General features: G+C 39.0%; 1 protein-coding gene across 2 annotated transcripts in view; it reads left to right on the top strand.

The window, feature by feature from the left end:
* SLC25A24 (solute carrier family 25 member 24) overlaps positions 1 to 15,573 on the top strand; it is a 66,301-nt gene that overhangs the window by 6,749 nt on the left and 43,979 nt on the right. Inside the window, exons 1-3 of one of the 2 annotated variants that reach the window (NM_213651.3) lie at positions 760 to 1,099; positions 7,641 to 7,767; positions 11,567 to 11,654. In NM_213651.3, the coding sequence (NP_998816.1) occupies positions 974 to 1,099; positions 7,641 to 7,767; positions 11,567 to 11,654 (341 nt within the window). In that variant the 5' untranslated portion in view covers positions 760 to 973. Of the gene's footprint in view, positions 1 to 759; positions 1,100 to 7,640; positions 7,768 to 11,566; positions 11,655 to 15,573 lie in introns of those variants that run through there. The other variant, NM_013386.5, reaches the window with a different exon arrangement.

Here is a 15,573-nt window from a genome sequence, read left to right as displayed (position 1 = left end):
GGTACCCATCAGCAGCAGATTGGATAAAGAAAATGTGGTACATACACACCATGGAATACTATGCAGCCATAAAAAAGGAGCAAAATCATGTCCTTTGCAGCAATATGAATGCAGCTGGAAGCCAATAACTTAAACGAATTATTGTAGAAACAGAAAAACAAATACTGTGTTCTCATTTACAGGGGGAGCTAAACCTTGGGTAAATGGGGCATAAAGATGGGAACAATAGACACTAGGGACTCCAAAAGGGGGGAGGGAGGGAGGAGGGCAAGGGCTGGAAAGCTTCCTACTGGGTACTTTGTTCACAACCTGGGTGATGGCACGATTAGGAGCTCAAACCCCAGTATCACACAGTATACCCTTGTAACAAGCTGATGGTGTAACCCCTGAATCTACAATAAAATTATTTTATTTTAAAAAATCATTATAAGGATTTTTAAAAAGAAGGATTCCTAGACAGGTGCAGCCAAACAATTTTTTTTAAATGTTGGCAGGCCGCCACCGCCAGTCACTTATGCTGCAATAGCCCATGTCCCAACATTCCCAACCTACTTCTCTCCAAAAGAGAAGCTATACTTTCAGATGGCCCTGTGCTGGGTTCTCCCTGGAAGTTTCTGGGGAAAGGGGCTTGAGTTGCCCCGACTGGACTCTTCCTGGAGTGGGAGCCGGGGCTTCTGATCAGACGTGAGTGAGGCAGGAACTCCGCGGTCTCCCAGCGCAGCCCAGAGTGCGGTCCCACGCAGGTCCCGGGTCCTGCGCGCTCGCGCCTTTGCGCTGAAGCCGTTAGGATGAGCCCTCTCCTTCCAGAGCTTTAACCGATGAAGGTGCATTGTGTTTGGCGCCCCTGAGGAGGATGCTGTCTTAGGCCTCTTCCCACTGGACGTGTGTGGTGGGCAGAGATCCCGTTCGTCGGTCGCACTTCCACCCCGCTGGGGCTCACTCAGGCCGCGGAGCTGCGAGGGAGACATCCTCGATGGACTCCCTCTACGGAGATCTCTTTTGGTACCTGGACTATAACAAGGATGGGACCTTGGACATTTTTGAGCTTCAGGAAGGCCTGGAGGATGTAGGGGCCATTCAATCTCTAGAGGAAGCGAAGGTGGGTCTCACTGGGGCTGTAATCAGAGAGACGTTGGGGCTGGGAGCCCTGGAGAGGCATTGGGCAGAGAGGGCAAAATTTACATGTTGTCAAGCTTGACCTGGGCCCACTGCAGTGTTCAGGTCGTTGACCAGCGTTACCGTTTATTAAGAATAACAACACAGCTAACACATTTCTCAAGTATTTTTCTCCGTTTTCTCCTTGGCTGTAGTAAAATCTCCAACTTCAGATTGCTCTCAAGATGTTGGCTACATACAGCCTTGTCTTAGGAGTCACCTTGTTCAATGTGCTCACCTGTCATTAGTCACCCAGAGGGGCGTCTAGGCTAAAGATGCGCCCTCCCCAGTTCAGAGAACTGGAATAATCACTCTACGTGTATTTGGGAGTGGGGTGGTGATTGGAAATTTTCTGATGTTATGTTTCGGTTTCTGTTCCTGGAAGGGGGCAGTGGAAGTGGCTTTTACTCTCGGGTTTCACTAGTGCTGAGGTTTCCTCATAATATGCCTTAATTGATAGACCCTAGTTATCAGTACCGAGCTTAGGCTAACCCTTCTCTTCCCCAGAAGGCTAACCTACAGGCTCCTTCTCAGCATGTTGTGCTTCGTACATACTCCTATTGCAGTATTTCCAAGTCATTTTTCATTTGGAATTTATTATTGTATATAATAATTACTTTATAAGTATATTTGCTCTTTGGATGTTTGACCCGGTAGACTGGGAGATCATGAGCATGTGGACTATTGAGTTTATTTTGGATAATTGGTACTTCGTGCCCAAAAAACTGTCAGTTGAGTTCTGTCATGTTGAAATTTAGTAAAACTCTTTCTATTAGCCATGTGAACTTTGGGAATATTGAAGCATCCATTCAGTCATGGGTCAGTTCTAGTTTGAGCACATTCTATATTCCAAGCCCCATACCCTGGTATCCTCATCTGTTATATCAGAGGCCTGGACTGTGTACTTTCTGTGGACCAATTCAGTCCAAAATGTTATTTCTGCAAAGCTTATCTGGATTTTTAATTCCTAGAAAAAAGCAGTGTTTCTCCTTTTAAAGTTAAGTGTTCTTGTTCAGGTGCAGTGGCTCATGCCTGTAATTCCAGCACTTTGGGAGGCCAAGGCAGGTGGATCACTTGGGGTCAGGAGTTCAAGACCAGCCTGGCCAATATGGTAAAACCCCATCTCTACTAAAAATGCAAAAATTAACCGGGTGTGGTGGTGGGTGTGTGTAGTCCCAGGAGGCTGAGGCAGGAGAATCACTTGAGCCTGGGAGGCAGAGGTTGCAGCAAGCTGAGATTGCATCACTGCACTCCAACCTGGGTGACAGAGTGAGACTCCATCTCAAAAAGAAAAAAAAAAAGTTAAGTGTTCTTCATATTTGTTTAAAGACACTCTTATATTTAGATTTGCAAGTGTAAGTTGTATTTGTTTATTTGATACAAACTAGCCTTTCATAAGAAATTCTGGGTTAGCTATCAAGTCGAATCTTTTGAAACACATTTCTTCCTTATTGAAACAAAAGGTTTGTAGAGCTGTCTTGCATTTTTGGCAAGGACGCTTTGTGTACCTAGTGGTGACTGAGGAGGGTTCACATGTCAAAACCCAAGGGAGGGGTGTCCCCAGAGAATTCTGCACCAACCACACAGAACATTCTGTTTCAGAGGAGCACCATTGTGACTTTTCCTCAAGTGGCAGTCACATCGTTAGGAGGTTTTGATGTGAGGTCTCTTCCCACACGTCTCCACCTCCCCAGTAGGAAAATTTGTTTATATAGACAAAACTCAACTGATTAAAAAAAAAAAAAAGAAATGATACTTACATTGTCGTGTTAAGATACAAAAGCAATAACTTTTTATTGTGAAAATAGTCTGTTTTTGAACAATATATTGTTTTGTTTTTTCCTGTGAAAGTTGAGAAACTAAATATACGAAGAGATAATGGTCAGACCATAAATAAAAATAGAACTTTGACTCAAAATTTACAGCAGTCTGCCCAGAAAACCAGCCCTTTATCTAAAATAAACAGACCAGGAAACCAGCCTGTTATGTCAGACTTATAGGAAGTCAGGTTGCTATCTCTAGAGACAATACACAAAGCTATGCAATAACTGCTGTAACAGCCCCAAATGGTCAGAATTTGATTAATAACCGACAGCCCCCCTAATTTTTTTCTTCACTTCCAACTTAGGACGAACCAGAGAAAGCTAAATATGCACCACCTACTAATCAAATAGGGTGCCGCGTTTCTAATGAACCCTCCTACAGCTTCCCCAGGCCAGCAGCCCCCAATCAGGAAACGCCTGAAGCCTTCCCTTTTTCTCACTGTAAAGCTTTCCCACTCCTCTGCCTGGCTTTGAGTCTCTGTCAATACACAAGTGAGGGTGTCTGACTCCCTTGCTATAGCAAACTCGGGCCAAGTAGATTTTACTTTTCTCATTTGATTGGTCTTTTATTTCTAGAAGGAACATACAAGAAAATTTAAAGGGGAATCCATTCCTAATCTTTCATATTATAGTAGTCCCCTTTTATCTGCAGGGCATATTTTCCAAGACCCCCACTGAATACCTGAAACTGTGGGTAATATTGAACCCTATATATACTCTCTCTATATATACATATATATATATATTTTTTAATTTTTTTTTACTTTATCTTTAATTAGCTTTAGCTCTTTTTTTTTTTTTTGAGATGGAGTCTCACTCTGTCACCCAGGCTGAGTGCAGGGGTGCAGTCTTGGTTCACTGCAACCTCTGTCTACCGGGTTCAAGCAATTCTTGTGCCTCAACCTCCGGAGTAGCTGGGACTACAGGCGTGTGCCACCACTCCTGGCTAATTGTTTTAAATTTTAGTAGAAACGGGATTTCACCAAGTTGGCCAGACTGGTCTTGTACTTCTGACCTCAAGTGATCCGCCCACCTTGGCCTCCCAAACTGCTGGGATTACAGGCGTGAGCCACCATGCGCCCAGCCATAGACTATATATTTTTGATCTGATAACTGGTTCAGCTACTAAGTGACTAACAGGCAAGTAGCATCTATAGTGTGGATATGCTGGACAAAAGGACATTCACCTCCTGGGCAGGATGGCACAGAATGTTGAGAGATTTTATCATGCTACTCAGAATGGTGTGCAATTTAAAACTTATGAGTTGTTTGTTTCTGGAGTTTTCCATTTAATAGTTCAGACCATGATTGACCGCAGGTAACTGAAACTGTAGAGAGTGAAACTGTGGATAAGGGAGGACTATTGTATTGTTAAGTCAGACTCATTAGGCAATCATAACTCTTGATTTGCCATCAGAAATGCTGCAGAAATATGGGTTAAAAAAAACTGTTCAAAAATAGGGTCAGGGATGTCCTTTAACTTGTTACTTCCAAAATGTTAGTGAAAACTGTGGCCCCAAAGAGTGAAAGGAACAAATGACTAAGAGAAAATCTTGTTTTCAGGATGACAGATTAAAAAAGAAGCAACTTGCTGAAACACTGAAAATCTCTCCACTTGTAAGATAACACAAAACTGGCTAAAACTGGTTGGAATGAATATGGCCAACTCAAGTCTGCACAGAACTAACTTGGTGATGTTACAGCCCAAATTTCCACCACATATTTTATACTAACTCCCCCCGGATTTTCACACATGATCTGTGAGGTAGCATGAAGAGGTAACTATGCATGCCTAAGGACTTGGGAGACCTCCCCATTTCCTTCCACCAATCACCCACTAATCCCAGAATCCGCCCCCAAACCTTTTCTAATAACTACCTTAAAGCCAGCATAGGGAGACAGATTTGAGCTGGACTCCTGTCTTCTTGTGGGTCACCTTGCAATAAAAAGCTTTTCTTTTCTCAACACCTGGTATTATAGTATTGACTTCTAGTTCATCGGGCAGCAAGCCCCTTTTGGTCGGTGACTATTCTTGTTCGCTGATATTTCCATTGGCCAAAATATAAACCTCTTAGATGAAACTTCAGTACGTAAATGGCGCCACAGAATGCTGTGACATTTTTCTCTTGGATTATAACAGGTTACTTTACTGAATACCGTAGGCAGTTATAACACACTAAGTATTTGTGTATCTAAACATAGAAAAGATACAGTAAAAATATGGTAATTTTTTTCAACTTTTAGTTGAGATTTGGAGGGTGTGTGCACATTTGTTACAAGGGTATATTGCATGATGCTGAGGTTTGGGGTACAATTGAACCCTGTCACCCAGGTAGTGAGCATAGTACCCAATCGATAATTTTTCAACCCTTGTCCATTCCCTCCCCGTTCTTGTAGTCCCCAGTTTCTGCTTTTCCCATCTTTATATCCGTGTGCACCCCATGTTTTGCTCCCATGTGTATGTGAGAACTTGTGGTGTTTGGTTTTCTATTTCTGCGTTGATTCGCTTAGGATAATGGCCTTCAGCTGCATCCATGTTGCTGCAGAGGACGTGATTTTATTCTTCTTTATGGCTGTGTAGTATTCCATGGTGAAAATATAGTACTATAACCTTACTAAATCACTGTCATATATATGGTCTATCATTGACTGAAATGTATACAGTGCATGAATATATATATATATATATCTATAATGTCTTATCCATTTCGTGTATTATGAGATTTGATTTGCTAATATTTTATACAGGAGTTTTGCATCTTTTTCACTAGTTGACATTGCTTGTAATTTTCCTTTTTTTGTGATGTCCCTGTTAGGTTTTAGAATCAAGTGTATACCCGCCTCATAAAATGGGTTGGAAAATGTTCCCACCCTTTCTGTTCTCTGGAAAATTGGTGTTTTTTTCTTAAAGTTTGGTAGACATTATTGTTAAAACCATGGGGTCCTCGATTTTTCTTCATGGAAATGTTTTCAAATTACACTTTAAATTTCTTTAAAATCTGAGTATAGGGCTATCAGACTTTCTGCTGTCTTATGTCAGTTTTTAATAAGTTGTTTTTGTAGGCGTTTGTTATCTCACTTTCATATTTTTGATATAAAGCTTTTCATAATATCATTAATGTCTATAGTGTCTAGTAGTTTCCATCTTTACTTTCTGACATTGGTTATTTGCCAGTTTTAGGAGTTTATCAATTTTATTAGTCTTTTCAAAGAACCATCTTTTGGCTTTGTTAATCCTCCCAATGGTGTGTTTTCTTTCTCATTACTTTTTGCTCTTTATTTCCTTCAACTTCTTTTTTGCTTAATTTTAAAATAATTTCTTGAGATTGAGATAAGCCTCAATGATGGGTCACCGATTTCCAGTCTTTCTTCTTTTCTAATTATGCATTTTAAACCAGAAATCTTTCTCTAAGTGTAGCTTTAGTTGCAGCTCACAAGTTTCAGATCTGTCTCTCAGTCTGGAGGTTGGAGATCTGACCATGACCATGAAACCATCCAGTCACAATGTGGCATTATTTTTTTAATTTTTTTTTTTTTTTGAGATAGAGTTTCACTCTTATTGCCTAGGCTGGTGTGCAATGGTGCGATCTCGGCTCACAGCAACCTCCACCTCCCAGGTTCAAGCGATTCTTTTGCCTCAGCCTCCCAAGTAGCTGGGATTACAGGCATGCGCCACCATGCCCAACTAATTTTGTATTTTTAGTAGAGATGGGGGTTCTCCATGTTGGTCAGGTTGGTCTTGAACTCCCGACCTCAGGTGATCCGCCCACCTCAGCCTCCCAAAGTGCTGGGATTATAGGAATGAGCCACTGTGCCCGGCCCAACTTGGCATTATTTACCCAGAAGAGCATGACCATGAGAACAGTAGAATTTGTAAGCTTTGAGTGGGTGACTATGAGTGTCATAATAGGTAGATAGGTTATATTTTGGGTGGTGGTAGGAGAGGGCTTACAGTTTGCTATGACAGCTTTTTATATGGATCATCCTTAGTAAAAGATTATTTAATTTTTGAAATCAAAGGGGAAAACACTAGTTTAGGCTTTCTTCTTTCTTTCTTTTTTAGAGACAGGGTCTTGCTCTGTCACCAGGTTAGAATGCAGTGGTGCAATATTGCTCACTGTAACCTCAAATTCCTGGGCTCAAGTGATCCTCCTACCTCAGCCTCCAAGTAGCTAGTATTTACAGGCATGCACCAACACATCTGGCTAATTTTAAAAATTTTTTATGGAGATGAGGTCTCACTATGTTGTCCAGTCTGGTCTTGAATCCTGACCTCAAGTGATCCTCCCCCATCAGCCTCCCAAAGTGCTGCAATATTTTAAATCCTGTGGTAGGTCAAGTGGTTGTCTTCTATCTTGGGGTTTATAAAGTACATGTCAAGAAATTTAGGGTATGGTTAGATTAGCTTTAAAAATGTCATGTTTTATAAAAATCAATGCATCATTTTTCTGATTGAAAATTTAACACAAGACTCAGAATCTTTTTGCAGTAGTGGAATTACTTTTATTATAGATCTTTGCGATAATGAATGATGATACATCTGGCCAAAAATAGGTACTATAGTCTTTTAGGAAAACAGCTAATCTGCTTGAAATATGTGTAGAAATAATTTAGTGCATCAGCCCATATTGGCAATAACTTCTCTCTAATTTTTTTTTATAGAAAATTTTTACTACTGGAGATGTCAACAAAGATGGGAAGCTGGATTTTGAAGAATTTATGAAGTACCTTAAAGACCATGAGAAGAAAATGAAATTGGCATTTAAGAGTTTAGACAAAAATAATGATGGTGTGTCTTTCTTTTGTATTTATCACCAGCTATGAAGAAGCATTTATCATGCTTTCAAGAGTCTAAAAGGATGCTTATTTAATCTCTCTGGTTTTAGATGATAATTATTATTTGTGTTAATACTTTTTTTTAGTAATGTGATTTTTATGTAGAGTTTATATTATTTAGTGAAGAAAACTTATAGATAGCTTTTCTTTTTCATTACTTTGAAATGTAATGAATTACATTTCTGAATTAAAAACTGTGGGCAGGGCCTGTTGTAAATGTTAACTATGGAACATTATGCTGATTTGAGTTAAACCTGTAGGTTAAAAATAATAATTATATTTTCTTGTCCTCTGGGTAAAATGAGATTTCTTTTTATTTGTATAGAAGAATGACAGTTGTGTCATCTAAAATTTAAAAAACTTTCAGATTATCTTGCATCTGTTAGTTTTTTTGGAAGAATTAATTTAGAGAAGATATCTCTGATCCTGGAAATTAGGGAAAAATAGCATATAAACGTTTAAGTGTGTACCTTCTGGTTAAGATTATGACTTCTATATTTCGATTAATAGGTTGGAGTTTGTCTTAATCTGTTTTCTGTTGCTGTAATGGAGTACCACAGACTGGGTAATTTATGAAGAAATGAAATTTATTTCTTATAGTTCTGGAGGCTGGGAAGTTCAAAGTTGAGCCGAATCTGGTGAGGGCCTCTTACTATGTCATAACATGCTAGCAGGCATCACAGAGCAAATGCACTACCTCAGATCTCTCTTCCTCTTCTTAAAAAGCCACTAGTCCCATCATGGGGGCCCTACTCTGAAGACCTTATCTAATTCTAATTGGAAATAGGGTCTTGAAGCCCTCATCACTAGAGGTAACCTTTAACAGGAAGAGAGAATTTATAAAAATTATAATGCAGCACCAAATCCCTCCCTACTTGTGAATAGTCAAGGTCATTTCATTTACAGACTTGTTATTAAAGAAACAGGTTAAACAAATAGATTGAGAGGAAATGTGGTTCATGTCTGAGATCAGCAAACTTTTTTGTCCAGAAGTCCAGATAATAAATATTTTAGCTTTGTGGGTCATGTGGTCTCAGTTGTAGCTACTTGTCTCTGCTGCTGTACCTCAAAAGCAGCCATGGATAATATGTAAATGAATGGGGATGACTGATTTCCAATAAAACTTTATTTACAAAGATAGTTAATACACCTTATTTGGCTTGAGGGTTATAGTTTGCCATCCCCTGATTTACAATGAATATTAAAGTTTAATTCAAAGCAAGTTCCTTCAAACAAACAAACTAAACTCTAGATGATTTTGAAGATTATTCACATCTGTGACTCTCAGCCAGGAAGAGCTGAGTTTGGGTTGGAAAGTAGTACTATTGGAACATTTGTTGCCCATAAGCCTTACAATATATGCCCCTAAGTCTAGCCTTAGTCCAGTCTTCTAGCAAAACTCAGTTTTCTTTCTTCTCTGCAAACTTTCATTCCAACATCGACCCTCTGCAGTTCAGATTGTCTTGCAGGTCAGATTGTCTGTGTGCTGCTATGGCAGGCAGTAGCTGAGAGATGGAGCTACCTTAAGATCAATTGCCAGATAATCAGAGGTCAATTATCCCAGTGCATAAGTAGTGTACATATCAATTGTTCATTTTATAAAATTCTAAATGAACCAGAGGCAATAATTAAAGATGAAATTTTGATGGTATATTTGTAGGAAATCTACACAATGTTTCCCTAATTTCCCATGTTTGTGTATTTTAAAACAATGTGGCATTATTGGTTCATATTTTTATTTTTTAGACTTCCTTAATGCAAAACATATACAGTTGATCCTCATTATTTGGGGATTCTGTATTTGCAAATTTGCCTACTCAATAAAATTTATCCCCAAAGTAACCCCAAAATATATACTCACAGTACTTTCCCAGGCATTCATGGACATGCACAGAGCAGTGAAAAACTTGAGTTGCTCAGCATGTACATTCCTAGCTAGTAGAATAAGGCAATACTCTGCCTTCTTGTTTCAGCTCTCATACTATTAACTAGCAAGTATCCCTTTCAAGGTCTGTTTTGTGCCAGTTTTTGCATTTTTGTATTTTTGTTGGTAATTTCCTTTTTAAAATGTTCCCCAAAGGTAGTGCTGAAGTGCTGTCTAGTGTTCCTAAGTGCAAGAAAGCCATAGCATGCCTTATGGAGAAAATATATGCGTTTGATAAGCTTTGCCCCAAATTCAATGTTAGTGAATCAACAGCACACATTAAATGAGGTGCGTTCAAACAGAAACAGACATAAGACATGGTTATGTATTAATCAGTTGATGAAAGTGTTGTAATCAGAGGCTCACAGGAACCTAACCCTGTTTTTCCTGTAGGAACAATGGTTTGGTATTTGCTAATTCAGTGTTTGCAATGAATATAGAACTTTATGGAAGATGATTGCTGTGAATAATGAGAATTAACCATATCTCTTTAAGAGTGCATTTCTAAAGGAGAATATTCAGAAGGGTATTTGCATAATTTCTTTACTAACAGATGCTGCCTCTCACTGTCCTTACATGGTCCAGATTCTCATGCTGCTCCTTCCCTCTCCCCAGGAGGATTCTCTCAGAATCCTGTCATCTCTCCAGGGTCCTTTCTCCAAGAAAGTCTATCCTTTCACCACTAACAGTAATTTTGGTCTTCCTCTTTTTCTGGAGAAGTCAGCTGTTTATGCTGCTTCAGCACCAGACCCTCTCTTACTTTGTTTTGTTTCATTCTTTTTCATGTACAGTAGTCTTAGGATTCTCATGAGCCTGTGAGCTGCTAGAAGGAAATACAGCAGTGCTTACATTTATTGCTTCTATTTTATTTTCTATTTTCTCTTCCTGTCTTCTGATTGTTCTCCTTCTGTCCACAAACACGCTCTAATTTCCCTAGTATTAAAAATTTTCTGTCTTTTGTTGTTCTTTTATCCTTGCTCCCTTATTTTTACTGCCAGATTTTTATTTTTATTTATTTATTTTTGAGATGGAGTCTCACTCTGTCACCCAGGCTGGGGTGCAGTGGCGCGATCTCAGCTCACTGCAACCTCCGCCTCCCAGCTTCAAGCAATTTTCCTCTTTTAGCCTCCCAAGTAGCTGGGATTATGGGCACCTGCCACCATGCCTGGCTGATTTTTCTATTTTTAGTAGAGACGGGGTTTCACCATGTTGGCCACACTGCTCTCTAACTGCTGACCTCAGGTGAACCACCCGCCTCAGCCTCCAAAAGTGCTGGGATTGCAGGTGTGAGTCACTGTGCCTGGCCTTTTACTGCCAGATTTTTAAAAGAATAGTCTGTGCTTTAGCTCTATTTCCTCATTTACTACTTCTCTTTAACTCAGTCATATATGATGTTTTGCATAGTAAATGTCTAGTAATTTATTAAAAATGTAGAAATAGGTACTTTTAAAATGAATAGATCCTACTTTAATTGAATTTATCTTGGAGTTAGAATATCTTGATTTGGATTTTAGTTCTGCTACTTCTTAATTACATTACTTGGTAAGGCCACTTGTGAAGTCAGTCTCTTTGGAGGAATATTATTTATCTATAAGGCTGTTACAATTACTGAATTTTAAAAAATGTGTATTTATTTTTTAATGTATTTGTTACATTTTTAGTATTGATGTTGGGATAGGCATTTAAGCAAGTCTATAACTCACCTACATGCACAATTTTGCCTTAATCAGTTTAAAGCTTTCTCTTAAATGAGAGATTTGAAATTCATAATTTCTGTGGTTCTTACCAGTTCTGAGTTTTATTTTTTGCCCTTTTTATTTTTTTAAAGGAAAAATTGAGGCTTCAGAAATTGTCCAGTCTCTCCAGACACTGGGTCTGACTATTTCTGAACAACAAGCAGAGTTGATTCTTCAAAGGTAAGCTCTTCATGTTGGTCAACAATTGACTTTCACTTTAATATTCTGCATTAGAACTCTGTGTTTGTAAGTGTGGCTTTAAAACACCTCCCTAGTCTTCATTATGTATATCCAAGATCTTTTTGTCTTTTTTCCTCCCATTCATTTTGTATGTGTACATTTATCTAAAGTGTAAGAATGGGAAGTGTAAGCTCAGACTGGACTCTTTCTTTCAAGGCCTCAAAGGATAGTGGAATGGCAGGAAGTAAGGTTTTAACTCCATAGATGAGGAGCTGAAGAGTTTTGGTGTTGCTTTTTCTCCATTTGATTTCTAATGTGACAGTAAAACTCATTGATTCAAACTAAGAAGACTAGCAGATTCATCACATTATTTAACCTAGATGTGACTGGAAAAAAGGGAAATTACTAAGCTCTCCAAGCTAACAAAGAAATACCTGTTTAAACTTTCAGAAAACAGAAATGCAAATTTGAACCTTATTGTCTGGGGCAATCAGTTTGACTATTTAAGTCAGACTTTTATACTCTTAATGTTTTGTTTCATGGGATAGAGCAGTAATCTCTGCAGCCCAGGTGCTCTCAAATACTCTGTTGCTATAAACACAGGGCAGGAACTGATTTTTTATGATAACGTAAAACAGAAAGGACAATTATATTGTATTAATATTGTTGTGAATATTTTCAGTCCTCACATTGTCTAAAAATCTTTCTAAATGGCTTTGTTATTGAATTTATCTCATTTTATATCTGTGCCAATAGCATTTTCATCCTTTCTCTCTCTTCATAATTTCTTTTACAAACAGCTGCTCAAGAGGAAGGCTCAAAGTCTCAAGGCTGAGCACGTAATGACTTTTGTTAGTACTAGATGAGAAGGGCTTTCCTGAGGAAATGAAAACCTAAAACATGAAAAGAAGATAAACAGAATTTGGACAGTGAGATATAGAGCATATAATATTCTGCTTCTAAAGTAATATTCTTATAGGAAAGTGAGGGCTTTTCCCTGGCTGTTAGGCCAGAAATCATATTCCTATATTTTCTTTGATAGCTTTAGGAATAATGCAAATTCTAAGCCCAAGCTTCAGAATAGACTAAGAAGTATTAGCTTAGCTGCCATGACAAAATACCATAGGCTGGATGCATTAAACAATGGAAATTTAGTTTTTCACAGGTCTGGGAGCTGGAAGTTTAAGATGAGAGTGCCAGCATGGTTGGGTTGTAGTGAGGGCTCTCTTTCTGGCTTGCAGATAGACCCCTTCTCACTGTATTGTCATATGGCAGAGAGAGAGAGAGAGAGAGAGAGAGAGAGAGAGAGAGAGAGAGAGAGAGATCTTTCTCTTGCTTTCTATTATAAGGCCATAGTCCTGTTGGATCAGGGTTCCATTCTTATGACTTTATTTGACTTTACCCCCTAAAGATGCTATCTCCAGATATAATCACACGGTGGGTTAGGGCCTCAACATTTGGATTTGGGAGGGACACAGCTCAGTCCATAGCAAAGGATAATGCAGAGGGTTGGATATTTAAAAGTAGCTACACAATTTTTAATATAAATATTTTATGGTAACTTTTTTTTTTTTTTGAGATGGAGTCTAGCTCTGTTGCCCAGGCTGGAGTGCAATGGTGCGATCTCAGCTCACTGCAACCTCCGCCTCCCAGGTTCAAGCAATTCTCCTGCCTCAGCCTCCTGAGTAGTTGGGACTATAGGCACGCGCCACCACGCCTGGCTATTTTTTTTTATTTTTACTAGAGACGGGTTTGCACCATATTGGTCAGGCTTGTCTCGAACTCCTGACATCAGGTGATCCACCCATCTTGGCCTCCCAAAGTGCTGGGATTACAGAAGTGAGCCACCGCACCTAGCCAGCAGCTTTACTGAGATGTAATTCACATGCCATAAATTCACTTTTCTAAAGTATACAATTCAGTGACTTAAAACATTTATTTATTTTTAAATTGACAGAATTACATGTATTTATCATGTACAACATGATGTTTTGAAGTATATGTACATTGTGGAGTGACTAAGTCTAGCTAATTAACATGATACATCTCATACTTAATGATTTCTGTGGTGAGAACACTTTACATCCATTCTCTTAGTATTTTTCAAGAATATAATATATTATTATTAATTGTAGTCTTCATGTTGTATAGTGGAGCTCTTGAACTTATTCCTCATGTCAAGCTGAAATTGTGTGTCCTTTAACACAAACCATACCCGACTCCCAAAGTATTCTGCTCTCTGCTTCTATGAGATTAACTTTTTCTGATTCCACATGAGTGAGATCATGCAGTATTTATTTGTCTTTACCTGGCTTATTTCATTCATATTGTTACAGATAACAGGATTTCCTTCTTTTTTTAATGGCCGAATAGTTTTCTATTGTATATATATAGCACATTTTCTCTCTTCATGCATTGGTGGACACTTAGGTTGATTCCGTATCTTGGCTATCGTGAATAGTGCTATAATGAACATGGGAATGCACATGGCTCTTTGACATATTGATTTCATTTTATATATGTGTATATATATATGTATACACACACATACATACAGTGGTGGGATTGCAGGATCATATGGTAGTTCTATATTTAATTTTTAAAGGAACTCCATACTGCTTTCCATAATGGCTGTATTAGTTTAACTCCTCACCAACAGGGTGCAAAAGTTCCCTTTTCTCTACATACTTGCCAACACTTGTTATCTTTTGTCTCTTTGGTAATAGTCATTCTAAGTGTAGTATGAGGTGATATCTCATTGTGGCTTTTATTTGCATTTCTGTGGTAATTAGTGATATCGAGCTTTTTTTTTTTTTTTGTACTTTTTGGCCATTTGTATGTCTTTGAAAAATGTCTATTGGGGTTTTTTGGTTGTTTATTTGAGGTTTTTTGTTTTTATGTAGGCATTTACTGCCATAAACTTTGCTCTTAAAATTGCTTTTACTGTGTTCCATGGGTTTTGGTATTATGTGTTTCCATTTTTTTTCATCTCAGGAAATTTTTGAATTTTGCTTTCAGTTTCTTCATTGACCCACTGATCATTCAGGAGCATGTTGTTTAATTTCCATGTATTTGTGAATTTGCTGAAGCACCTCTGTTACTGATTTCTAGTTGTTGTTTTTTTTTTTGAGACGGAGTCTCACTCTGTCCTCGAGCTTGAGTGCTGTGGCCCGATCTTGGCTCACTGCAAGCTCCGCCTCCCGGGTTCCCGTCATTCTCCTGCCTCAGCCTCCCGAGTAGCTGGGACTACAGGCACCCGCCACCACGCCCGGCTAATTTTTTGTATGTTGAGTAGAGACGGGGTTTCACTGTGTTAGCCAGGATGGTCTTGATCTCCTGGCCTCGTGATCTGCCCGCCTCGGCCTCCCAGAGTGCTAGGATTACAGGCGTGAGCCACCGCGCCTGGCCTGATTTCTAGTTTTTTATTATTGTGGTCGGAAAAGAAACTTGATATGATTTCATTCTGCTTAAATTTGTTAAGACTTGTTTTGTGGCCTAACATATGATATCCCCTGGTGCATGTTCCATGTGCAGTTGAGAAGAATGTGTATTCTCTTGCCATTAGGTGAAATGTTTTATGTCTGATCTGTCCATTTGTTCTAGAGTATAGTTTAAGTCTGATGTTTCTTACTGATTTTCTGTTGAGATGATTTGTCTATTGCTGAAGGTAGGGTGTTGAAGTCCCCTACTATTGCTGTATTGCAGTCTCTCTCTCCTTTCAGACGTATTAATGGTTTTTATTTTATTTTATTTGTTGTTGTTGTTGTTGTTGTTGTTTTTGAGACGGAGTCTCACTCTGTCACCAGGCTGGAGTGCAGTGGCAGGGTCTCGGCTCACTGCAGCCCCCGTCTCACGGTTCAAGCGATTCTCCTGCCTCAGCCTCCCGAGTCGCTGGGACTACAGGCGCATGCCACCACGC

The sequence above is a fragment of the Homo sapiens genome, chromosome 1, assembly GCF_000001405.40.
Source record: "Homo sapiens chromosome 1, GRCh38.p14 Primary Assembly".
Lineage (NCBI taxonomy): Eukaryota > Metazoa > Chordata > Mammalia > Primates > Hominidae > Homo > Homo sapiens.
Note: the sequence above shows the minus strand (reverse complement) of the source record. Positions and strands in the feature narration are given on the sequence as shown.